At 40.2% G+C, this 27,630-nt stretch overlaps 1 protein-coding gene across 7 annotated transcripts in view; it reads right to left on the bottom strand.

The window, feature by feature from the left end:
- ESRP1 (epithelial splicing regulatory protein 1) overlaps positions 1-27,630 on the bottom strand; it is a 66,293-nt gene that overhangs the window by 27,196 nt on the left and 11,467 nt on the right. For 4 of the 7 annotated variants that reach the window (NM_017697.4, XM_005250991.4, NM_001122825.2 and 1 more), the window contains exons 5-13: positions 17,901-17,999; positions 17,716-17,770; positions 15,464-15,574; positions 15,212-15,344; positions 15,075-15,117; positions 12,021-12,322; positions 8,600-8,818; positions 5,765-5,963; positions 1,900-2,068 (exon numbers count right to left, since the gene is read on the bottom strand). In NM_017697.4, coding sequence (NP_060167.2) covers positions 1,900-2,068; positions 5,765-5,963; positions 8,600-8,818; positions 12,021-12,322; positions 15,075-15,117; positions 15,212-15,344; positions 15,464-15,574; positions 17,716-17,770; positions 17,901-17,999 — 1,330 coding nt within the window. The remainder of the gene's footprint in view (positions 1-1,899; positions 2,069-5,764; positions 5,964-8,599; positions 8,819-12,020; positions 12,323-15,074; positions 15,118-15,211; positions 15,345-15,463; positions 15,575-17,715; positions 17,771-17,900; positions 18,000-27,630) is intronic. The other 3 variants (NM_001034915.3, NM_001122826.2, NM_001122827.2) reach the window with 1 other exon arrangement.

The following is a 27,630-nucleotide window of genomic DNA, read 5'->3' as shown; positions in this document are numbered from 1 at the left end:
ACACACTCTAGGGGTTAATTTGGAAGTATTAGCTTATATATAACGCACCTGACCTTCCTTTTTAAAATTCCACTTCTGTAAAACTGTCTTACAGAAATACAAGCATGTTCCCTGTAACCCCAGCACTTTGGGACGCTGAGGCAGTGGATTACTTGAGCCCAGGAGTTTGAGACCAGCCTAGGCAAAACGGCAAAATCCCATCTTTAGTCAGGGAAAAAAAGTTTGAGAAAGAGAGAGAAAATCAAGTATTTAAAGATCAACATGAGCTTTAATAGAGAAAAATTAAAAGTACAGATATCTACAAATAAACTTAAATTATATTTTTACTCTTTGGACATTTTGAGGAATTTACAAGAATGAGGTAAATATACACAGAAGTCACTGACACATTTTCAAGTTTTAAAAAAAAGAAAGAAGGAACGATTAGACAGTACACATTAAGATGTCACATTATTTAGAAGCATACACGTGTATTACCAAACTGATAGTAACGGTTACTTCTAGACTCAGAGGTGTATAAAATGGGAGTCTTTACTTTTACTCACTACACTCCTATACTCAGACTTAATAATGAGCACAATACAAATTTTAAAACTACTGGTAGAAAAAAAAAAATTGACCTACAGGCCCACATCCAACATTACAGGAGCTATTAAGCCATAAATGTCAGTTCCTTCTGCCTTTGGGGCTTCAAGATTCATGGTCTCATTTCCAAGAAACTCCTTCCTGTACCACTACTCAGGTGGCAAGTAGTGATGGAAGTGGATATTCTACAATTACACTGTAGGAACAAGAACACTGGCAGACATTCAGAGACACCAAGGATTCCATTCCTGACATTCTGATGACATAAGCAATTATCACAGGGTCCAGAGAGGGTGGCAGATTGGGGCTGGGCTACGTGTCTGGCACAGTATTCCATCATGAACAGTTACTCATGCTTCTTAGCCTTTTCAAACCTTCAGAAGACAGCTAGCTGACAACTGTCATAGCCTTTTTCTTATTTTTCTTCTCCAGTGGAATAAAAAATATTTTCAATAGCATTAATGTTTTAAAAACTTCTAACAAAATAAAAAACATAATTAAAAGTGGCTACAAACTTGCCTGTTATTATGAGACCCCTAACTCTTACTCCTTAGTGGAAAATTCTGTATTGGACAGGGAAGAAAAATACAATGCAACATAGCTGTAGGATCAGACAGGTTAGGTCCAAGACACTTATTATAAGCCTCATTTACATGCTCGTGCATGTACTCCAAATATTTCTTCTAAATAGCTTGGAAAGAAACTAACATTCAGTCTCCCAACTCCCAGACTGACAACATTCTCTCCATTATATGCTAGTATGCTATGTCCGAGAAATTGAACACAACTAAAAAGACAGACTTAAAATATATAGACTCTAAGAAAACACTAAATAATCTAATTCTGGATTGGTTTATAGATTTGTTTAAAGATTTAGGAGGAAAAGAATATAAGCCCTGGAATATTTAAAGCAACAGTTTTTATTCACTGTGCCATAACATGAACTCATACTACTTCAAAATAGCATTGTTCCTGTTATGAATTTTCCTGTTTTATGATTCATTCATCTGATATTGCCATCCTATTGCAGTGATCACATCACTACTCACTTGGGGTCCTATGACAGGAGAGGTAAAAAAGGAAAGCTGTAGACATAGGTGACCTAAAAGATCATGCTGTCAGTATATGGTTAAAAACTATACTGCTTTTGCTTTGTCTTGAAACAACCTTCTTGGTCAGAGATATGACCAGAGGCTGTGGCCTGCCACGCTAACCTTCAACATGGCAGACAATATTCTTTTGTGAGCTCTTGCACTGGCTATCAAAGGAGTCCTTTGTTTCTGCCCCTCATTTCCACCTCTGTCAGAGCCTTACCTGGGATAGTACGCTGTGTAATTCATGAAGAGCTGAGTGCCTGCTGGGTAGTACGCTGTGGAGGGCTGCAGTGCTCGTGGATTCAAAATCACAGAGGGCTGGTAAATGGCAGCTTCTGTAGGAATAACTGCAGCAGGAGCTGGAAATGTGTAGGAGGGAGGAGACAGGCCTAGATATGCAAAGAGAGATTCTTTGAGACATATTTGTAACAGCTGACATGCACGTGCTAGCACTAAAAACATAGTCACTGTTCCATCTACACATTTTAAAGAAAGAGACCACAGTTCTTTATCCTATCCCAAGCAATTTCCTTTTGATTATACAGTTAATGCATAGAAGTATCTGAATTCCACCCTGTCAACCTAAAAAACAGTTCTTTGCCTGAAATTCGGAAACACCAAAATCAAGTGGATTTTCATGTCTTCTCAACCATTTCACAATATGTAATTTTTTTCCCTCATGTTCCTGAGTGCCAGTTACTACAAACCAACTCTCAGAGGAAAGAAACAAGGAACTGATGTTTAAGTTTCATACTAGAGGCTACTAAATATTTTAAATTTTAAGTTATGCTTCTACTCCCTCTTGCTACCTACCCGTCAGTACAGCATCAAATGAGAAGTGTTATGATAAACCTCTCTTGGCCACTACCACATATTAGGTCAAAGCATAGACTGTGCCAGAAGGAACTGACCTAAAAGAAACAAGCAGATCAATTCTGCATTATTCTCACCTAAAGGCTAGCCACATGATGGGCTTTGAAGCTAATTTATATCTTCAGACCTTTAAAAAGAAAAAAATCCAACCTGGGAAATAGTCCCAAAGGAATTGATGCCTAAGTCTTCCTGGGAATCAACTAATAAAAAGCTGGCTCAGATTAAATTAAAAAATGGGCCCCAACTGCATTGTCTTCTGGTTATCAAACATCTTCTAGGTTTAGAAACAGAAGACCAGTGGCTGGTCACTAGCTTTCACTTGTGGAATGAACACAACTATCCGGGCCATTTATACCCAATAGAAGAGTTAAGTTGAGATGCTGAATGAATATGGGGTCCCTGACTTTAAGCTTCATACCTAGAACCACCACATTTTGCAATCAGCAGAGGCCCAAGAAATAACTTTTTCCCATAAAAATCTCCAAGCTGACTTCAAATTGTCTTTTGTTCTTATGAGTTTCTACATTTCCATGGAGATGAATAAGACAGCAAGCTAAATATGGGCGTATAGAAAAAAGACTAACATATTGATCTCATATTTAACTTGAGTGCCTCTTTCATACTCATCAAAAACTGTGCAAAAGACCAACAATACAAATTGAGGCACCTAAGTCTCACAGAAAGTTATACAGCCTGTGCTCATATTCTGATTTCTTGAATTTTTTTTTAGTAGAAACAGGGTTTCGCCATGTTGGTCAGGCTGGTCTCGAACTCCTGACTTCGGGTGATCTGCCCGCCTTGGCCTCCCAAAGTGCTGGGATTACAGGCGTAAGCCACCGCGCCCGGTTCATATTCTGATTTCAAAACTATCAAGCGGTTCATTACAGGACAGTGCCTCACACCAATAAGACAAACACACATGGCTGGGTGTGGTGGCTCACGCCTGTAATCTCAGCACTTTGGGAGGCCGAAGCGGGCAGATCACAAGGGCAGGAGATCCAGACCATCCTGGCCAACATGGTGAGACCCCATCTCTACTAAAATACAAAAAATTAGCTGGGCATGGTGGCACACTCCTGTAGTCCCAGCTACTCAGGAGGTTGAGGCAGGAGAATCACTTCAACCTGGGAGTCAGAGGTTGCAGCGAGCCAAGACTGAGCCACTGCATGCCAGCCTGGCAGAAAAGCAAGACTCCGTCTCAAAACAAAACAAAACAAAAAAAAACCACACATGCATAAACACACACACATAGTAGGTGTAAGTCTGTTCAGCTTCAAAACAAAGGTAGAAATTTTCGATAACCAAATAGATTGGGCTGCAATGTTTTGGGCATTCCTCAAACAAAAGGATAGCTTTTTTTTTTTTTTTTGAGACTGAGTCTCACTGTCGCCCAGGCTGAAGTATAGTGGCGCAATCTCAGCTCACTGCAACCTCCGCCTCCCGTGATCAAGCAATTCTCCTGCCTCAGTAGCTGGTATCACAGATGTGCGCCACCACTCCCGGCAATTTTTTGTATTTTTAGTAGAGAGGGGGTTTCACCATGTTGGCCACTCCTGACCTTATGTGATCCACCTGCCTCAGCCTCCTAAAGTGCTGGGATTACAGGTGTAAGCCACCATGCCCAGCCTAGGATAGCTAATCTTATATATCTAAAGTAGTGTATATGCACTGACTACAAAAATGAAGTTAACCATAAAACATTCCTTCTTAAGAAAGTAAGTTAACAAACTTTAAGAAGTTGCATAAAAGTTAAATGAAACATAAACTCGTTATGTTGCTCAAGCTGGTCTTGAGCCCCTGGCCTCAAGTGATCCTCCCACCTTGGCCTCCCAAAGTGCTGAGATTACAGGTGTGAATCACTGTACCTGGCTGACACATGGATTTTAAATCTTTTTTATTTGGAGGCTTGTGAGGAAAAATGGGTAAAAATGAAAGTCTTCAGAGGAAAAATCTGTAATGACCAGGAGGAGGGACAAGTGAAAGGATATTCCAAAAGCAGAATTTGGGTCACACATGATGCTTTATCTTACAATGTTTGACAGATTATCACTAAAGGATATCGTAAAAGCTACTGACATTACCAGTGGTTTATATACTGAAGACATACAACTGAGATTACTGTAAGATCTCTTAACCCAATTATAAATTTCCAAAACTTCATACTTATTAATGATCAACTCTAAGATATTCACCAACAGCAAGCAGCAGGTAAATGGAATATTAGCATTTAGAAATTCAAAATGCTAAAAGATAAAAAGGATTAAGCCCCACTGAATGTTCTACAAATAATACTTTACCAAACAAGATCATTAGTATAGGTCCATCTTATTAGAAAGTGAGGTGCCCAAATCCCCCGCTTTATTGGAATCAAGCACATAATCCAGTTTACTTAGTTATCTTTGAACTGTACTGCAAATACTATATTCTTTAAACATACCCAACAGGCCTAAGAAGGTACATCTTATTTAAAGGAAAAATTGTGTAAAAAAGACTCAAATTTTAACATCAGATCCCCATATGTTCCTTATTCACTAACTAGAACTTCGTAGACTACAGGGCTTATTCCCCTCAAATAGGATTCCAGATGGCTTGCACCCAGGTGCCAATGAGCGAGAGCATGGCTTAAAATTAAGCACTGATCCTGTGATCCAATGGAAACTTTGGCTAATTAATCTATGTGGTTTTTTTTGTTTTTGTTTTTTGTTTTTGCTCACTTGCTCATTCCAGATATCCTGGAGAGCAACAGAAATGCTCAAAAATGTTAAAAAAATACTTGATGCTCAAAAAGTTAAATGCAACATGTGCATCAAACTGCCCTTCTTAAAGGTTAATACGTTTTAAAAAATAAAATAAAAAGAATCCAGCCATACTTTTATTTTGCCTTTAAATGCGTACTAAAATTATCTATATAGCCAGGTTGCCTCCCAGAGTCAGTGCTTATCTGGAGCACACTAAGCTTCAGAAATCAAGTGCTTATCACTGGAAAAGCAGGAATATAATTTGAAAGGAGGTATTTGTAGCATCTCTAATTATGGGTGTCCACAACCAAGGTCTTAAATGATTACCAGGTACTACTGATTACAGATGGGAGAGCCTTATATAACCACCTCACCTGCCTCAGAAAGAACCAGGGGCACAGAAAGTTACGAAAGCAGCTTAAGCACCTACCAGCATATAGCGTAGAATAGCGCCAAGACCCAAGAAAAACTTACATGGTAACTTACATGGCGGTGGGGATAAGCCATTTCGATTTAAAGTGCCCCCCATTAACACAAAGTTCATCTCCTCAGCTGAACACTGAAAGACTTCAACATATCTGTCCTTCATGTTTTTTTTATGACACTTCTGTGCAGCCATAAATGCTCTGTCCGCAGACTTCATCTGGATAAAGGCATCTCCTGATGGGCGGCCCTGAGTGTGTGGGGGAAGAATAAAAACAAAAGGAGACTGTCTCCTTCAACAAGGAAATGGTTGCTTACAAAACATGCAAAGTGACAATCACCCATAATACAGATATTTTAGCCACAAAATCCGGGTGATGGTGTGATCTGCTGGAACCTGACTTGCATTTCATCACCTGATCACCAGAATGGCCAACAAAACCTTTAAGAAACAGTTTTGAGAGCTCATAGCTGAAAATGAGCCTTTTTCACTTCTGTTAATTAGTATCAGATTTACAAGGGTTTGAAAGGGTCTCCTTGTGACTGCTGCTTCAAAATATAGGATCGTATACTAGTTTTTTTCTCTTCTGAAAAATTCGATTAAATCTCATTCAATTGAGAAAAGCTAGTAACAGAACCAGCACTGGAGCTTTAGGTACCCTCCTACAGGAAACTGAACCGGTATTCTTTTTTGGCTCTCAGTTCCAGTCCATCACTGACCTGCCATATCCCTTTCAATCTTCCCTCATCCCTGAGACCTAGGTTGGAATGTGGCTTGGGGGCAAGGAATTTGGGAGGTGCAAGGCCCAGTGATGATTTGTGAGAGCTGTATGTATCATCAGCCTTGCTTGGGAGCCCTTCTCTCACTCCTTACAGCTCTACCTTGGTCAAACAGGTATTACTAACAGACATTTTCTATTAGTAATAGCTTGCTAAAACCCCCTATTTCAAACCAAGCCTGTAGATTTGTGTTCCACAGAGGTAGAACGCCTTAGTTTTATTGAGCACGAATGTTTTATGGGGGAGAAAAAGACATGATCAGCTTACAGGACTACTTTCTTATTTTATGGTTTTCTCAATAAGTCTCTTAAGGACTGTGAAATTATTACCATGCAAGTTACCATTAGAGTTACCACACCAGGGAAACTAGCAACAAACCCAGTCCAAGATGGAAACCTAACATCCTCAAGGCACCTAAGAGTTTGTGCATCATCTAAGAACCTTTTCCCAAGTGTAATCACAATAGGTCACATGAGGCAAAGAGAGACAAATACTGTTGTTAATCAAAGAGTAATGGCCTCTGGGTTATTAGAAGTGGTGACTCAATAAGAAACCAAATAATTCCCTGGTGATGCTTAAATGTGGGCAATTTTATTCAAAAGAACTGCTACCAGTGAAGCATGCTGAGAGGGTCAGATAACAAGTTGCATAATTTAATATCAATATTGACTGAAGACTTAGAATGAGCATGTGCTGATGCAGAAAACTGGTATAGAAGGCAAGGGCTCAGGATGGTTTCTGATTCCTTGTATCCAATGGTACAGGCTTTCCAGTGAGACAAGATTACAGTTATGAAAGTGACCAAATCTCCAAGTGAAAAGGTGAGAAATTAGCAATTTAGGGGAAAAAAATTCAGTATTTTCAATATAAGCCTACATTCAACCCTTAATCCTCAGAAAACATTTTCAAAAATTAATACAGCTTTGCATTTAATTAAGAGTCCCAGGCCAGGTGCGGCGGCTTACGCCTGTAATCCCAGCACTTTGGGAGGCCAAGGCGGGTAGATCGCCCGAGGTCAGGAGTTTGAGACCAGCCTGGCCAACATGGTGAAATCCTGTCTCTACTAAAAATACCAAAATTAGCCGGGAATGGTGGTGGGCACCTGTAATCCCAGCTACTCGGGAAGCTGAGGCAGGAGAATTGCTTGAACTCAGGAGGCAGAGATTACAGTGAGCTGAGATTGCTCCACTGCAATCCAGCCTGGACGACAGAGTGAGACTCTGTCTCAAAAAAAAAAAAAAGTTCCAAAGTTTCAACTACAACCACCTGGCTTATGGGTTTGTAGAATTGTATCTTGCTTATGACAGCACAAAATACTGTTAAATTTTCCAGCAAATATAATTTTCTTTAACCAAAAATTAGGTGACAATAAGCTAGGAAATACTTTACATTTGCATATGGAAGAATTCAGTTAGATTTTTATACAGGCTTCTCAGCAACTCATTCATTAATACATTTGAGAGCCTGTTATGATCCACACATACTGTTCTTTCTAGGTGGTATGGATTCAAGTCCTCACTGAGTTTGGTTCCTATTGAATGTAATTTGATGTCTAACATGTATATATTAAATATGAAATAAGCCATTTCTAAATAGTCTATGGATACAAAATATTCTGGAACAGATATGATTATTTGTTAAAATAAGCATCATCCATGATTGCTGTAACACTACAGCAGAGTTGCAGAGTTGAACAGCCAAAATAAGAAAAATTGTGTCAAGACTGATAATATATGTCATGCCTACTTGACGCTATTGATAATGTGATGGATATTTGTGATGAAGAAATCAAAGCTGAATTTGAATTATTATACTAACGACAGCATTATTTTCAGTTCATTCTAAAGACCTCTTGTATTTACAGTTAAGTCTTTCCTTAAAGACTTAGTGTGTAACTGAGGATTACGTACTTTTTAATTAGATGTGAGACTAATTTTATTTATCAAAGACTAATTTCATCTAAATTTATCTCAGACTAATTTTATTTATCAAAGACTAATATCTAATATTAGATATTTCTAATAGATTATCTAATATCTAATATTAGATATTTCTCATATGTAGTGAGAAAAAGCAAATAAGTTTTCCACTAAGTATCTTTCTTACCTGGTGATTCAAAACCATGTGAACCCCATGAGTACGAATATCTGTGGCGAACTCCCCCAGGAAATCCAGGATGTCCTCAATTGTGGCTGCATAGGGAAGACCTCGAAGGCGTATACAGTCTCTAACATTTGTAGGGGGCACAAATTGCTGAGGTAGTACTGGAATAATGGGAGGGGTTGGAAGTGGAATGAGAGGGGCCGAGGAGAATCGATTCAGCACCTGTACTCAAAGCAAAACAGAAGTAATTTAGAGCTGTGCTACTCCCCTGCTTTCTGCAGATCAGCAATGGCATCACTGGGAAGCTCGTTAGAAATGCAGAATCCAGCTCACCCCAGACCTAATAAATATGAATCTTCATCTGAACTGAATCTTCAAGTGATTCAGAAGTACATGCAAGTTTGAGAAGTAATGGAGAAAGGGATTCATGCATTCCAGCAGGGAAAGCATGATACTCATTTTTGTCAAATACACTGTGAGGTGTACACCACACACAACACAAAACACTTAAACAGTTAGTGTCTACCTGTAACAATGTATCACTATCTGTGAGGGATATTATCCCTAAAGCTGCCACTTTTATACAATTCTGAACATATCACTAAATGTGGACTTTTGTAGCAAAAGTAGAAATATATCATTTCACTAAGTACACAGTATTCCCCTCATTACCTTCATACTCCACCTCCAAACCAAAGAAATAGAGAATGACCCAGTAAAAGAATCACAGGCCAAACAATCACTTTGGATTATATTAAAATATAATGCTGAATAATAGCACAAGACAGAATGGGTGGGTATAAAGACCTGAAAAGAATCATTTGTTGACCGTAAAGATGAATAGTAGTTTAGTTTCCCTGTGAATTTGAGACAGTGGTAAGACAAAAGATCTTGAATATCTTCTAGATTCATGGAATTCAGCTATCTTGGAAATGGATGATGATAGGTTAGGCGAATTTTAGACAAAAGACTGCCCTTAGGCAACACTCATATTACAAGGCTCTTGTCCACTTTTGTCTCAGAGCATGCCAACTAGTTCATAATACTAGAAGTCCTTAGGCAAATGCCATCTGTGGCATCTCCAGGTTTTCTGAACAACTTAATCACTCTAGCCTTTAACATCCCATAAATTGACAATATAGAAGAATCAATGAACCCTTCCCCAAAACATGCACTAATTTCCCCACTCACACCCTGCTCAGTTGCTATCTGAGTAAGAGGGGACAAAAATCAAACCACACCACCAGAGAAACGGCATGAAAAAGAGACAAGAAGACTTTAATAAGAAGTTATATAAACAATCCAGACACAGCAAAAACATTAGAAGAACAAGAATAGAAAATTAGTGTAGTAATAGATAAACTCAGGACAGGAAATGGTGAAGCATCTCATAATACCTGACAATTAAGAGGTGCTCAAATATTTACTGAATAAAATGACTAGTAATGAAGAAAAGACAGTGGAAGAACCTATGACTAGTTCAAAACTTATTAAATAAATCAAGAAGGATGGAGAAGTAGAGAAAATGCACACCCAAAAGCAACTCATAGTAGAATCATAGAGAGGCAGCCTACTCTATTTCCAAACCAACAGAGTAGCCCAGGCTCTGCAGTAGCTTATTCTAGGCCATGATTTCATAAGACAAACTCTCTTTCCAAATAAAGATCTGCAACCACATCGAGTTTTTTCTCCTGGTTTGGGAAGAATGTTTGTCATGTTTGAAAACTCAAGCACATTTTAGAGATTCAGCACTTATGACATTTTCAAAAAGGTATAAATTTTTTTTTTTTTTTTTTTTTTGGTAGCGGGAGACAAAGTCTTGCTTGGTCGCCCAGGCTAGAGTGCAGCGTGATCTCGGTTCACTGCAATCTCCACCTCCCGGGTTCAAGCGATTCTCCTGCCTCAGCCTCCCGAGTAGCTGGGACTAAAGGCGCACACTGCCATGACTGCCTAATTTTTTTTTGTATTTTCAGCAGAGATGGAGTTTCACCTTGTTGCCCAAGCTGGTTTTGAACTCCTGAGCTCAGGCAATCCGCTCGCCTTGGACTCCCAAAGTGCTAGGATTACAGGCGTGAGCCACTGCGCCTGGCCAGATTTAAATTTTAAATTGTAAGAATGTAGCTAGTTTAGGGTTCAAGAGCACCAGTACAATGGAACACAAAAATAATTTAGAATTTCAATTATACTTATTTTAAGTACAAAAATAATTTTGGCATTCTAGTAGGTAAAAAGGTTCTTAACTTTGCATAATTATTTAAAATCACAACATATAATGGGATGCAGAAGCTACACAAAACTCTGATGAACTCACAGAAATAATTAAGTAAGTATCCTAAATACTTACAAAGCAGACCTGTGGAATCATATGAATCACTATTCTACTATGGGACACAAATAGAGCAAGTTGGAAAAGCAGTCTATACCATTTATGCTACAAAGGCAAACTGACCCCTGAAGACATGTTCAATTGGTAGCTGGCAAGTCAAGAACAGTCGAAAAGCTTGAGATTCTATAAATGGTTTAATGCCTAGATCTTAGTACATTTTGAGGAAGTGATTGCCTCATTTTGTGCCTCAAAAATGCTGAAAGTTGCCAGGCGTGGTGGCTCATGCCTGTAATTCCAGCACTTTGGGAGCCCGAGGTGGGAGATCATCTGAGGTCAGGAGTTCGAGAACAGCCTGCCGCGAAACCCCATCTCCATTAAAAATTCAAAACTTAGCTGGGTGTGGTGGCAGGCAGCTGTAATGCCAGCTACTCAGAGGCTGAGGCAGGACAATTGCTTCAACTGGGGTAGGCGGAGGTTGCAGTGAGCAGAGATTGCGCCACTGCACTCCAGCCTGGGTGACAGAGCAAGACCCCATCTCAAACACACACACACACACACATGCTGAAAGCTAGTAAAACAGGACAGAGCTCACCAGCAGGGTATGAAACCGATGAAGCCTTTTGGGAAATAACATTTGGCAACACATTAAAAACCTTAAAAGCTCACACTCTATATCCAATGCTACAGAAATCAAATTGATGACAGGTTTTTAAGCATTTTACATAGAAATTTCTTCTGGTAGAAAAAAATCAATCTAAGTGTACACTAGAGGAATTTCTAGATAAAGTATGCACTTCCATGAGATATTTAAAGATGAAACTTTTCAGACATAGGTAAGCTTTCATAGTTTTAAAACAGAATACAAAAATCCAGCTATAGCAGTATCCCATTTCTGTAAAAATACGTAGTATGTGTTGTGTGTGTGTACAGGATAACAGCGGCTATCTCTTGGTTATAGAATCAAGACTATTTTCATGCAGTTACACTTTTAGTATTTTGCCAGTTTTATTTTAACATAATGAGCAATGTAGGACTATTTTCAGAGATAAAGAACAGAAATTAATGCAAAGGTACAACATACTTGTTTTTAAAACCAACCTGCTGAACTTCAGCTGCTGTGCTCCTGAAGAGTTCAATGTATCTTTTACCCAACAAGTCTTTATGCTTCCTCAACGCATTCTGTGCATATTCCTCACAGGCAAAGAGGACAAAAGCGTCCCCTGTTGGCCTACCATCTGGGTAGGTGACAAAGAGGATGCCTTCCTTTCCCCCAGTAATAGGGCAATGCTGTCCAAAGAAGGCCACCACTTCTTCAGCTGTGGCCGTGAAAGGGAGCCCCCGCATGCGGACAATGACTTGATTTTCCTTGGAGAGAAACTGGGCTACCTCATTGGAAGTACCTAGGGAAAACAAATATTAGGAAGCAGGGAGAGAAATAGTTAAGACATCAACTTTACCGATTTTAAAGTGATAAAAGTCCTGCCAATGTCTTGAGTTCATAATGAAGACCCATACTCCTACTGAACGCAAAATAACATCCTAGAAATCAGAATTTTCTAAATTTGAAACTCCTCCCCTTTTTCATAAAACATCCTTCTTAATTTAGGAAGCTGGCAAGACAATTAAATCACGGGCCAATCACTAGTAAGTCATTGTGGTAGTTAAAGGCACAGGTCCTGGAGCCAGAATGCCTGGGTCCAATCTTGGCTTTACTGCTTACTAGGGCATAATCTTAGTCAAGTTCAACTCCGTGCCTTACTTTTCTTGTCTGTAAGATTGCCTATGTCATAAATTATGAAAATTAAGTAGGGTAATAGATATAAAGCACTTTGGGTTAAAAAAATCTTTTCCTGATTACTCTTTTGCTCCCAAGAAAACCATCTGCAAGTAACTCAATTACCTTTTTTTTTTTTAATTAAGAAAGGTTCAAACATTCTTAGTAAAAAGAATAGTATAATGAATATATGGGGTACCTACTTTCAATATTGATCAACATTCTGCCCAACATAAAACATTTTGTACAGTGTTGTCATATAGCAAATACTTAAATGCATATCTTTGAAACTCATACACTAGTAACATTTTCCCTAATAGCACGTTCTTCTTTTTGCTTCTTTTTTGTTTTTTTTTTGAGACACAGTTTCACTCTGTCTCCTAGGCTGGAGTGCAGTGGCACGGTCTCGGCTCACTGCAAACACCGCCGCAGAGATTCAAGTTGATTCTCCTGCCTCGGCCTCCCAGAGTAGCTGGGATTACACACACACACACACACACACACACCCCTCTCCTGGCTAATTTGTGTATTATTAGTAGAGATGGGGTTTCACCATATTGGCCAGGCTGGCCTCGAACTCTTGACCACAAGTGATCCGCCTGCCTTGGCCTTCCAAAGTGCTGGCATTAAAGGCATGAGCCACCAAGCCCAGCCCCTAATAGCAAATTCTTATCGCAGTGCCCATATACAATGAAATCCCAGAAATGATATAAACAATTGACTTTGCCATCTCCAAGTTGCAATGCATCTATCATGAAATGTCAGGATTTAGGTAAAACCACAGCAACCCCAAATATATTTGACCCCTAACAATATCAAACATTGCTTGGGAACTCTGGAAATGCTCCTAAATTTGAAGTCCTGAATTTTGAAGCCTTAGAGTTTATCTAAAGATGAACTGGAGCAAAAATATACCAGCAGATTGTGTTAATAGGATGCTGTTCCGGTAAGTTCTATAGCTGCAAAATTTTCACCCAGGCTCTGTAATGTAGGAATACAAATGTTCTTTTACACAGTGAAAGTCATCTTCATATAATTTGGCAATAGGTGTCAAATGGCTGTTGAAAAGGTCCAAAATTCTTTGATTCAGCTATCCTGCTTTTAGAGATTTATCCCAATGAGTGGCGCATACAGAGATTTTAAAATATTGACAACATATTAAAGTCAAAAGTTGGAAATGAGTTCTAAATGCTCAACAGGGATATTTTATTTATTACAGACAGAATCTCACTATGTTGCTCAGGCCATTCTCAAAATACACCAAGGCTCAAGCAATCCTCCCTGTCTCAGCCTCCCAAGTAGCTGGAATTACAGGCACAAGCCATGTGCCCAGCTCCAACAGAGATGTTTCAAAATATTATGGTACATATAATACTATGTAGCAATTAACATTTAAGAAAATTGAGTAATGTAGGATGATGTTAATATACATTAAAAGGAAATTATAAAACAATATGAATGAGCAACAGAAACTTACAAAGTAGATATATATATAGAAAAAAATCAGACAAAAAGCAGTCAACGTTTTATGCATGTTACTTCCTTTAAAGTTATTAATCACTAAATAACTGGATAAAAACCACATCTGTTCCACCCTGTTTTTAACCATATTACTGTAAATACACATCCAAAAATACTACGAGACCCAAAACTACCATGTTTCTGGTGACTCATGTGTTAAGTTTAGAGAAAAATTAGAAGCACATGTGCAACAATCCCAGGTATTGCAGCGTGGCCGTTTGAAAGCAGTTTTCTGACTCTTTTCAAGAATATCATTTCCTGGCCGGGCACAGGGGCTCAGGCCTGTAATCCCAGCACTTTGGGAGGCTGAGGCAGGAGGATCAATTTGAAGCCAGGGGTTCCAGACCAGCTTGGCCAACATGGTGAAACCCCATCTCTATTAAAAATACAAAAAGTTAGCCAGGCATGGTGGCACACACCTGTAAACCCAGCCACTACGGAGGCGGAGGCACAAGAATTGCTTGAGCCTGGGAGGCAGAGGTCGCAACGAGCTGAGATTGTGCCACCGCACTCCAGTTTGGGTGACAGAGCGAAACTCTGTCTCCAAAAAAACAAAACAAAAAAACCTAGCCTTTCCATATGCATACAACTTCATATCACCTTTTCACCTTTGTATAGTACTATTTTTAATGGCTATTTAACTATAGTAAGTTGGCTCAAGCCTTAGGACAAGTGTTATACATTAAGCTCACTGTTATTATCGGAAGCTTCTACCTCTGGGGAAGAAAATCTATTCCCATGTTCCATTAGAAAATAAAAACCATTCATGACCCTATTCACCTACTCTTGCTAAATTTAAGTATGCAAAATTTTTAGATTCTTATTAACTAAAGCCACATTATGTAAAAGGCACTTACCACCAGCAATTTTAAGGAAATCTTCACCTGTTGCTTTGTAAACCTGAGAAAAGACAGAGAAGTTAGTGTTTCTGAGCCTTCCGTCCTATGTTAATTCTCATTCACGATGTCCAGGGGTTCAGGTTTTGAGGACATACCTCAATATACCGGGTCCCCATGTGATGTTTGTGCCTCTGTAGTGCTAGGTCTCGGTGCTCCTCACTTACAAACCTAACCAGAGCTTCTCCGTTCCTTCGACCCTGAGCATTCAGACAAAGTGCTGCACCTCCCCTTTGAGAATAATAAAACAGACAGCAGGTAGAAAAAAAAATACAGTGAGGAAAAAAAAGATAGAAAATCCATTATCCCTTTGGGATTGTTAAGTAAAATAGATATTTAAGAAAACCAACTTGGCAATATTGAGTCCTTTGAAGAATCTTGCAATATCTTGATCTGAAGACTGCCATGGTAAACCTCGTGCCCTGACTACGGTGTTATCATCAATAAGTTCCATCTTGCTGCTGTGGATGAAGCAAAACTTCAGGTTGCATGATAAATGCTAGCAAGTCAGACACCTATTACCCCCTGCAAGACAACTGCCTAGTTACACAGGATGTATTATTTGGTGTTCAGACAGACTAGCAATACTACTTGATTTTCCTTATAACCTCAAAAATTATGTGGGTACAACTCAAAGTACTGTTTAGGTGGTTCATTATAGAAACATGGCTGCCTGTGCAGGCCCAACACAGCTAGCTCACTCAGCAAACCATCTATCTATCAAAGCTGAGGAAGGCCAGGCGTGGTGGCTTATGTCTGTAATCCCAGCACTTTGGGAGGCTGAGGTAGGTGGATCACCCGAGGTCAGGAGTTTGCGACCAGCCTGGCCAACATGGTAAAACCCCGTCTCTACTAAAATTACAGAAATTAGCCGGGCATGGTGGTGTACGCTTATAATCCCAGTTACTTGGGAGGCCAAGGCAGGAAAATCACTTGAACCTGGGAGGTGGAGGCTGCAGTGAGCTGAGATTGTGCCACTGCACTCCAGCCTGGGCAATAGAGCAAGACTCCCTCTCAAAAAAAAAAAAAAAAAAAAAGCTGAGGAAATGTTTGCTTGGCACCCTCATGTCCTGAAAGTTCCTAGAACCCCAAAAGATAGGTTTGAATTCATTCTCAAATCTAGACAGTATACATGTGGGGTTTAAATCCAGTTTAGCAGCCGAATTTAGGATCAGAATAAAGCTGACAATTAACCCACATGAGGAATGTGTGTGCATGGTAGGAAGTCTGCCATTAAAATATCCCCCAGATCAAACCAGGGAGCCATCCCAGAGAATGTCCATAGAAATGCCTGTGAGTCCCTACACCTTAATGACTCATTTGCAAATCACTTATTATATATTTTGACACCTTTTGATGTCTTATCCCTCCCACGTTCACATTTTCAGTTCTCCTAGGACATTTTCTTAATAAGTCACTTTCTCCACAACTAATCGGCCTCAAAGTCTCTCTCTATGGGCAAAGCTGTCAGAAGTTTCTATTCACTTCAGAGACCAAGCACACACTCAATTCATTAGAGTGATTTACAAACAGGTCTACCTGCGATCACTAACAGACACCACTTCATACTTCTCCCCAGCTATTTCCTTGGCTTTAAAGTAGAAACCTATATAGCCAGGCACAATGGCTCACACCTGTAATCCCAGCACTTTGGGATGTCAAGGTGGGTAGATCACATGAGGCCAGGAGTTTGAGACCAGCCTGGTCAACACGGCAAAACCCCATCTCTACTAAAAATACAAAACTTAGCCAGGCATGATGGTACACATCTGTAATCCCAGCTACTGGGAAGGCTGAGGCACAAGAATCGCTTGAACCCGGGAGGCGGAGGTTGCAGTGAGCAGAGATCACACCGCGATATTCCAGCTGGGCAACAGAGCAAGTGTCTCAAAACTAAAATAAATAAATAAATAAATGTACTTATAGAATGTACGTAAAATTTTATCTCAGTAAAAATTGTGAACTCTATTAAAGCCTACAATTTCTCCTTTGGAAATTTTCTAAATGAAAGATCGGATAGTTTGGGGAGACCAAAATAACAATCACAGATATGAGCATATAATATACTTAAGGTCAGGGTGACTAAAGATGCCAGTAAGTCATTACATTTTATTCCCAATATCAAGCTCTAAGTAATACAACCTTCTTTTACAGATGACCGAACAGCAAGAAAGGATAGCTAAAAGGATTAGTAAAGTTTCTCAAATATAACAAGAATTAAGAGGCACAATATGAACAAAAACAAGTTAAAGGCCGGGCGAGGTGGCTCACGCCTGTAATCCCAGCACTTTGGGAGGCGAGGCGGGCAGATCACGAGGTCAGGAGATTGAGACCATCCTGGCTAATATGGTGAAACCCCATCTCTACTAAAACTACAAAAAAATTAGCCAGGTATGGTAGCGGGAGCCTGTAGTCCCAGCTACTCGGGAGGCTGAGGCAGGAGAATGGCATGAACCCGGGAGGCGGAGCTTGCAGTGAGCTGAGATCGTGCCACTGCACTCCAGCCTGGGCGACAGAGCAAGACTCTGTCTCAAAAACAAACAAACAGACAAAAAAAAAAAACAAGTTAAAAAGCTCAAATAAATAGTACTCAAGCACTTACCAAGTTCCACTTTCAAACTTGTAATTCACTCTCTCTGGATCTGAAAACCTGTGATCTAAAAATGAGAACATAAAAGTCATCATTTTAGTGATTAGGGAGACAAAGTTGTAGGAGGAAATTTGAGTATAGGTAAGAGAAAAATAGTATGAATTCTGGGACTGCACTACTATAAAAGCAATACTTACTATAAGGCTCTGAAATCATTGCTAAAATTATATTCCCCATATCTTCAACTTGAGAGGCTCCATATCGAGAGACTGAACTACTCTTCTCAAAATTTAAATCTGTGAGATTAAATTAAGGAAACACTTTGGAAAGGTAAAATCAGGTTACTTCTAAATCAAAATTAAACCTATACCAAGCCAAGAGGAAGAAGATGGATCTAGCTGAGCTTCCTTTAGAAATCTCAGAATGGCTGCCTCCCATCAGTCAGTCATTCAACTTAGGCTCCAACTGCCCTTTTGGGTAAAAGAGGCAAATCAATCCAGTGCTGAGATATTACCAGGAATACAATTTTTATTTACCCAGTTGTAGCAAATGAATACTGAGCATTTTCATTTCATTTTGAATCAAAGTATGCAACAAAGTTAATTAGAATATTTCATCCTCTGAATCTTTACAGCACACACAAGGCAATGACCATGCCGACTTCATGATATGGTGACATTATCAACACTACAAGGTATTAAATGACTTTTTTTTTGGCCTAATGTTTGAAATGGACACCACAGATTATTGATGTGACATTACTTCCACAATGCCACTTTTGCTTAGAAATTCTATTATAGAACACTTTTGGAGCCCTGTAGGATAGTCCACCTTTGATGACAGCAGATGCTAGTTCTAGACAGCAAATTTTGGAAACAATTCAAGCACTCAGAGCCAACACAGGCCAATGTGCTTCTTTACCAAAAGTATACTCTTTGAAACACATAGCTCAAACTTGGTTTGAGGGTGAAACCAGGAATTCACATGAAGTTTTGCGAATCTCTCTAAAATAAGGATGTATTTCCATCAAATAGAGGCATACCTTGAAAATATGGTAGGCTTGGTTCTACACCACTGCATTAAAGTGAATATCACAATAAAGCAAGTCACACAATTTTTTGTGTTTCCCACTACATATAAAAGTTATGTTTTGACTGTTCTAAGTATTCAATAGCATTATGTCTTTTAAAAAATGTACATGCCTTAATTCAAAAATGCTTTGTTGCAGATGGGCACAGTGACTCACACCTGTAATCCCAGCACTTTGGGATGCCGAGGCGGGAGGATCTCTTGAGACCAGGAGTTCGAGACCAAGCCTGGCCAATATGGTGAAACCCCATCTCTACTAAAAATACCAAAATTAACCAGGCGTGGTGGTGCATGCCTGTAATCTCAGCTACTCAGGAGGCTGAGGCAAGAGAATCGCTTGAACCCGGGAGGTGGAGGTTGTAGTGAGCTGAGAACACCCCACTGCACTCCAGCCTGGGCGAGAGGTAGACTCTGTCTCCAAAAATAAAAAACAACAGAACAACTTTGTTGCTAAAACATGTTAATCATCTGAGCCCTCAGTGAGTCAATCTTTTTGTTGGTGGAGGATCTTACCTAGATGTTGATGGCTACTCATAGATCAGGGTGATGGTTGCTAAACGTTGGGATGGCTGTGGCAATTTCTGAAAATAAGACAACAATGAAGTTTGCCACATCAATTGCCTCTTCCTTTCATCAAAGATTCGGTAGCCTGTGATGCTGTTTGAGGGCACAGGCAGAGTTGACTTACTGTAATTCTTGGTTTTCTTTGGTTTTTTGTTTGTTTGTTTGTTTTGGTTTTTTTTTTTTTTTTTTTTTTTTTTTTTTTTTTGAGATAGTCTCGCTCTGTTGCCCAGGCTGGAATGCAGTGGCACAACCTCAGCTCACTGCAACCTCTACCTCAGCCTCCCGAGCAGGTGGAATTACAGGCACGCGCCACCATACCCAGCTAATTTTTGTATTTTTATAGAGATGGGGTTTCACCATGTTGGCCAGGCTGGTCTCGAACTCCTGACCTCAGCTGATCCACCTGCCTCAGTATCCTAAAGTGCTGGGATTATAGGCGTGAGCCACTGCACCCGACCTCATTTTTGTATTTTTTAGTAGAGATGGGGTTTCACCATGTTGGCCAGGCTGGTCTTGAACTCCTGGCCTCAAATGATCTACCTACCTTGGCCTGCCCAAGGGCTGGGATTACAGCCATGAGTCACCACCCCGGCCAATTTAGCATAATTCTTCAGAACGCTAGGATTTTTAGGACGGTTAATGACCATTAGCTTTAACTTAAAAGTCACCAGCTACATTAGCCTATAACAAGAGAATCAGCTTTTGAAGCAAAGCATTGATTTATCCTCTCTAGCTATGTTAGTCCAGGATGGCATCATCTTCTAAGAGAAGGCTGTTTCTAGTACATTGAAAATCTGCTTAGTGTAGCTGCCTTCATCAGTTAGCTAAATCTTCTGGGTAACTCACTGCAACTTCTCCATAAGCACTTTCTGCTTCACTTTGAATTATGTCGTAGAGCTGACTTATTTCCTTGAATCTCATAAACCAATCTCTGCTAGCTTTTCTTCTGCAGCTTCCTCACTTCTCTCAGCCTTCATAGAATTGAAGAGACTTAAGGCCTTGCTCCAGATTGCGCTTTGGCTTAAGGAAATGTGGTAGCTAGTTTGATCTATCCAAACCACTCACACTCTCTCCATATCATAGCAATAAGTATATTCCATTCAAATTACACTTTCCTCTCTTCTATAAATGACAAGTGGTACCCAGCCTTCTCATCTTTGCTCAGGTAACACCCTATAATGTTTTGCTTTCTTATCATTCATATATTCACTGGAATATTCAAGAAATTTTCCTTTACGCAACTTGACAAATCATTTGGTGCATAAGGCCTGGCTTTTGGCCTCCCTTAGCTTTTGACATGCCTTCCTGACTAAGCTTAATCATGTCTAGCTTTTGATTTAAAGTGAGAGATATGAAACTCTTACTTTCATTTGAAAGGTTAGATGCTGTTGTAGGGTTAATTGGCTTAATTTCAATATTGTGTTTCAGGGAATAGGGAGTCCCAAGGAGAGGGAGAGAGATGGGGTAACCACCAGTTGGAGCAGCCGAACACACACAACACTGACCAATTAAGTTTGCCACCTAATATGGCCCTGCTTTATGGTGCCCCAAAACAATTACACCAGTAACAAAGATCACTGATTACAGATCGCCACAACAGAATAATGAAAAAGTTTGAAAGGTGACAGAGAGACAAGTGAGCAAATGTTGTTGGAAAAATGGTGTCAATAGACTTGCTGAATGCAGAGTTGCTACAAACCTTCCATTTTCTTTTTTTTTAAACAAAACAAAACTGGCCAGACACGGTGGCTCACGCCTGTAATCCCGGCACTTTGGGAGGCCGAGGTGGGAGGATCATTTGAACCCAGGAATTCAAGACCAGCCTGAGATAGCGAGTCCCCATCTCTACAAAATAACAAATTGGCCTGTCATTGCATCTACTCAGGAGGCTGAGGTGGGAGGATTGCTTGAGCCTGGGAGGTCGAAAAGTACACCACTGCACTCCAGCCTGGGTGACAGAGCAAGATGCTGTCTCAAAAATAAAAGATGAAAATTTAAAAAAAGACAAAATACAACAACTGTGAATCACAATAAAGTGAAGCACACTAAAACAAGGTGCACCTGGGTGAGCAGACCCTAATGTGCTCCGCAAAACCTAACATTGACTTTCTAGCCCCTTATAGCAAACGGTTATTGACCTGTGACCTATTACAGAAGAATGGAGATTGCAAAAAGATGGCCAGATACAAAGGATGCCACAGGAATGTTTGTCAATCAATCTCAAAAAAGAATATGGGGAAAATTTAGACTTGAAAGGAGTATAAAAGTATATTCCATTCAAATTAAGCTTTCCTCTCATCTATTAATGGCAGGATTACCTAGCCTTCTCAACAGTGCTCAGGTACCACCCTATAAGGAAAGCACTCTTATCTTAATCCCCTAACCAAATTAGGCCACAAATGACCCACCAAAACTGTTCTAGGCCACAATCGTCAATTTAAGAGTTCATTAGATACTATTCCTAAAATGTTATGCTATTTTCTCGACTGTTGTAACATTTCCTGGGTGTAGGCCCCCATCTTCCTCTGATCTCTTTCCACCTATCAACATCTCTATAGCTTCCAAGGATCTGCTGACTTAAATGGTGGCATTTACTGGACACCATTTTGTGCCAACCACTCCCTATTTCTTCCAATTCTCATAATAACCCTGACAGATAAATTACAGCAAAACCAAACAGTTGTAGAACTAAGATTTAGTGAGGCTAGGCATGGTGGCTCACGCCTGTAATCCCAGCACTTTGGGAGGCCGAGGTGGGTGGATCACTTGGAGGTCAGGAGTTCGAGATCAGCCTAGCCAACATGGTGAACTCCTGTCTCGACTAAAAATACAAAAATTAGCCGGATGTGGTGGCGGACGCCTATAATCCCAGCTACTCAGGAGGCTGAGGCACAAAAATCGCTTGAACCCTGGAGGCAGAGGTTGCAGTGAACCGAGATCATGGCCGCTGCACTCCAGCCCGGGTAACAGAGCAAGACTCCATCGCAAACAAACCACTGGGATTGAGTGATGTTCAGTAGTTCACCCAGTCACCTGGCTGATGGGTAATGGAGGTGGGATTACACGAAAGCTATGATTTGACTATTGAGCAATAGTGTGAGAGAAGTTTTATAAATTCATAGATAAAAGCCAACTGAAGAAGACAGAGATCAAAAGTAAAAATGTAAAGCATTCCTGCCTGGTTAGAAATAGACTTGTAGCTGAAGAATCATTTTAATGAATTCTACTTTTTAACTCAGAAAATGTTCTTGACATTTGGCTACTACCTTGGTGCCACATAACACGTCCCAACATGTCTCCCTTTGAGCCATCGCACACCAGGATCAGCGTCACACCAGGATGAGTGGTGCTGAGCTGTGTAACAACTTGTAAAAGTCACCCAACCTCCTGAATGCCCAAGCCATCTCCTTACACACACACACACACACACACACACACACACGCACACAGCCTCAATAGGCCAGTTTCTTCAATCTATGATCCTTAGCATCACTGAAAACGAGTAACAGAGAGGAATGAGAAAAAAAGTTTTAGTAGCAATTCTTTCCCTTATCAATTTATAAGTATATATTGGATTACTTGCTGCACGTCTGATCTTGAGGAAAGGAAAGATGAGTCTGTGCCTCCTAATTTATAGCTCCTCATGCAACTTACTCATTCTGCCCTCAAGGCAGTCACAACAGTACAAACAGGCTTAGCCAGCTTCACAAATGAGAAATGCCTCAAGGAAATGAGGAAGGGTACAGGCAGAGGCAGTGGGAACAAAACTCATCATTTCAGGCTGCAACTGAGCAAGTAAAACTTTATATGCATGTTAGAGGAGTCTAGAGAGACTTGGTCTATATATTAACAGGAGGGACACTTTCCTTATGACCACCACTGGTGAAACAGGCTTGAGGATTTAATCCACACTTACATTAGCTGAGGATATAATTCAGAGAGAAATTTTATGGTTTATCAATATTAGCTTATCTACTTTAAAAAGTTATCCTTCCCAATTACCTAAAAATGGTCACATCTGGTTTCAGAACATCCAATTTTTACTTGTAAATATCTTTTTAAACTAAGTTTTTAATAAGGTAATACATTAACTCAGACAAGTTTAAACTATTTTATAATTACTCCAATTTGAAGTGTCATCTGAAAGCCATTTTTCCTTGCCATAAGAAAAATGTCACAAGACATTAAATCCATTCCTTTTGTTTACTTTCATTTATTGTATAGTAACACAATTTCATGCTGCCAGACTTATAATACCTATGCTAATGAACAAAGGAGTAGCTGATAAAATACAGCAAGAAAAAAAGAGAAAAGTTTATTAGTCTTCTAACTAAAAACTGAATTTTCTAAAATCATGTGATAGAGATGTTACTCTTAAAAGAGTTACCTTTATGGGCCGGGCGTGGTGGCTCACGCCTGTAATCTCAGCACTTTGAGAGGCCAAGGTGGGCGGATCACAAGGTCAGGAGATCGAGACCATCCTGGCTAACATGGTGAAACCCCCGTCTCTACTAAAAAAATACAAAAAATTAGCCGGGCGTGGTGGCACGCGCCTGTAGTCCCAGCTACTCGGGAGGCTGAGGCAGGAGAATGGCTTGAACCCGGGAAGCGGAGCTTGCAGTGAGCCGGGATCGCGCCACTGTACTCCAGCCTGGGCGACAGACGATGACTCCGTCTCAAAAAAATTTTTTTTTTTTTTTTTTTTTTGAGACTAGGGTCCTGCTATGTAGCCTAGGCTGGAGTGTGGTGGCTATTCATAGGTGCGATCCCGCTGCTGATCAGCACAAGAGCATGAGTTTTAACCTGCTCTGTTTCTGGGACAGTTCACCCCACCTTAGGCAACCCTCCACTCCACTCCCGGAGGTCGCCATATTGATGATGAACCTACTGTGGATACTGGATGGGCATACCGCACTGCAGCCCAGAACTCCTGGGATTCAAGCGACCCTCCAGCTTCAGCCTCTGGAGTAGCTGGCATTACAAGAGTGTGCCACCAAACCTAGCTGTCTGCCTAATTTATTTTTTCGAGACAGGGTCTCACTGTTGCCCAAGCTGGAGTGAAGTGGCGTGATCTCGGCTTACTGCAACCTCCGCTTCCCGGGTTCAAATGATTGTCCAACCTCGACCTCCCAAGTAGCTGGTATTACAGACGAATGCCACTATGCCTGGCTAATTTTTGTATTTTTTGTAGAGACAGGGTTTCACCAGATGGTCAGGCTGGTCTCAAACTCCTGAGCTCAAGTGATCTGCCCACCTGAGCCTCCCAAAATGCTGGGATTACAGGCCTGAGCCACCGTGCCCAGTTTGGTTGCATAATTTTAAATGTAAGTTCTACATATAACCTGATATATTTTAAAGTGAGCTTTGAAGGAAACAAAAAATGTCACCATAAGAAAATACAATGAGAAGTCAAGACAACCAAAACTATTTAACACCAGCAATAAAATGCGGGGGAAAAACATCTAAAACCTAGGTATGAGCTGAGAGGAGTGAAAAATATAAAAATAAAATTAAAAAAAAAAAAAAGATGCCAAGTGTGGTGGCTCACCCCTGTAATCCCAGCATTTAGGGAGGCCGAGGCGGGTGGATCACTTGACACCAGGAGTTTGAGACCAGCCTGGCCAACATGGTGAAACTAAAAGTAAAATACAAAAATTAACCAGGTGTGGTGATGCACATCTGTAATTCCAGCAGTTACTTGGGAGGCTGAGGTATGAGAATCCTTTGAACCCAGGAGGCAGAGGTCACAATGAGCTGAGATCGCACCACTGCACCCCAGCCTGGGTGAGACGCCGTATCAAAAAAAACTAAACAAAACAAAACAAAACACACACACACACACACACACAAAAAACCCAAAAAACCTCACAGACACAGATACACACATACTTAAAACCCTAGTTTTGTCTTCTCCCAACCAGCTTTCTCAGGTTGAATACAACCTTAGTTTTAAACCTTACTTCTCAGCTTACTTTTTTTTTCTTTTTTTTTTTTTGAGGCAGGATCTTCAGGCTTGAATGCAGTGGCGTGATTACAGCTCACTATAGCTTTGACATCCTGGGCTCAAGTGATCCTCCCACCTCAGCCTCCCAAGTAGCATGGACCACAGGAGTGTGCTTATTTTTAAGCACCTAGCTAATTTTTAGATTTATTTTTGTAGAGACAGGGTCTCCCTGTGTTGCTTAGGCTGGTCCTGAACTTCTGGGCTCCAGTGATCCTCTTGCCTTAGCTTCCCAAAGTGGTGAGATTACAGGCATGAGCCACTGCACCCAGCCTCTTACTCTTAGAGGGTAAAAAATAAGATCCCTACCTAACAAATATTACTTCTTGGAGATATTATTGTACTGAAGAGTCACACAGAAGGATTTCCAACAAACCTAGTAAGTCAATTATACCCTAGAAGAAAGAAGATGGAGATAGGGTCTCATTCAACAAAGGAGATGAAAAACTTTACTTTGGAAAAAGACATTTATATGGGATAAACAAATTAGGAAAAGGAGACTCCTTGGTAACAAGTCTTCCGAAGCTTTCTAAAACAAAAGGATTAACTTGGAATTTCCAAACTCCCATTTTAAAAGTAAAATATTTTATTTTTTTGAGATGGAGTCTCACTCTGTCGCCCAGGCTAGGGTAAAATGGTGCGATCTTGACTCACCGCAACCTCCGCCACCCAGGTTCAAGCGATTCTCATGCCTCAGCCTCCTGAGTAGCTGAGATTACAGGTACCCACCACCACACCCAGATAATTTTGTATTTTTAGTAGAGACGGGGTTCCGCCATGTTGGCCAGGCTGTTCTCAAACTCCTGACCTCACATTATCCACCTGCCTCCGCCTCCCAAAGTGCTGGGATTACAGGCGTGAGCCACTGTACCAGGCCAAAATATTTTATAATTAAAACAAACCACACGTAATTAACATCAGTCTGAGGGCTGGCAAGGAATATGCAGTATTTCTAGTCACTTCACTCACTGCAGATGACAGGCCAGTGTCCATGCCGATTTGGCTCATGTTATGCCAATGTGATGCCAGAGATAATTCCTTCCACCTCCAGCTAACAAGGTCAACTACTGGTCCAGCTTAACTGTATACTTGATTTTATATATATATATATCCCTTTCATACACAGAAAAGTACCAATGAGGATTCGGTGTTTGCCTTCACCTTTACAGCAGGGCAGGGAAGGTTTGTACAATTATAAAGCCCCAGCTCATTTCACTGTTAGAATAAACTCCTAACCTTCAAGTTTACCTGTACTAACATGTAGCTGATGCTTTGAAAGGTCTACCTCTAGTCTCACATAAGGTTAAAAAAATTTATATGTGTAAAATGGTTTACATAAGGTTTTAAAACAATAAGGAAGTCCTTTTCAAAGTCCCTTGCCAGCCGTTTTTCCTGTTCTGAGACACCCGACAACCTGGTGGGGTCCACAGGATCAGTCAACATTGCAGAGTGTGGGGCAGGCCAACCACCAGCTAAGTGGCAGCACACATTATCTCATTAATCCTTATACAATAGTCTTACCCATTTTAAGATGGGGAATCTGAGGCTGAAGATTCAAATAAGTTGCCCCCAGTGTTCATGTTCTTAACTACTATCCTATTATCCCCAATTGTAACCTACAGGAAAAACAGGCTAATGTCACACACTGATAATAGAGCACACATATGTGCACACACACCCAAATCCTTTACACCCCCCAAGAAGTGATGAAATATACACACCCTAATAACCTTTGAATGGGTAGGCATGAGCAGTTTAGTGATTTTTTTTTCCTGATAATGGAAATTTGCCCTAGTGAAATGGCAATCATAATCACGTCAAACAGCACATACAAATGCAATACCCTATCATGGAATACATATTTTACAAAATTAACTTTACTGCTTTAATGGTTTGATATGTGCCGAGGAAACACAGGATATTAACTTAAAAGGGAGATAACCTATTTGAGGTAGCCAACGTGCCTCAAATGATTGTATACATTCTAAAATATTTCACCTTGTATATTGTTGGATGCTAGAGCATATAACTTAAAGACAAAGCCTCTAAGCCTCAGTTTCCCTAGTGATAAAATGGGGATGAAAGCTCCCCACTGAGCCGTTCATGGCATATGTAGTAAGAAGTCAATTGATAGTTTTTTTCACCTGTCCTCCTTACCACACTTTCAGAAAAATAAGATCTTAATAAATGCTTGGCAAAGGGAAGTAAACACAATATTAGAAGTCTTGATTAGTGAGAATAAGTAAGTTCCTGACAAACAGCTAACAAAAAGC

Source organism: Homo sapiens, chromosome 8 (genome assembly GCF_000001405.40).
Source record: "Homo sapiens chromosome 8, GRCh38.p14 Primary Assembly".
Classification (NCBI taxonomy): Eukaryota; Metazoa; Chordata; class Mammalia; order Primates; family Hominidae; genus Homo; species Homo sapiens.
This window is presented reverse-complemented; position numbering and strand designations above follow the sequence as displayed.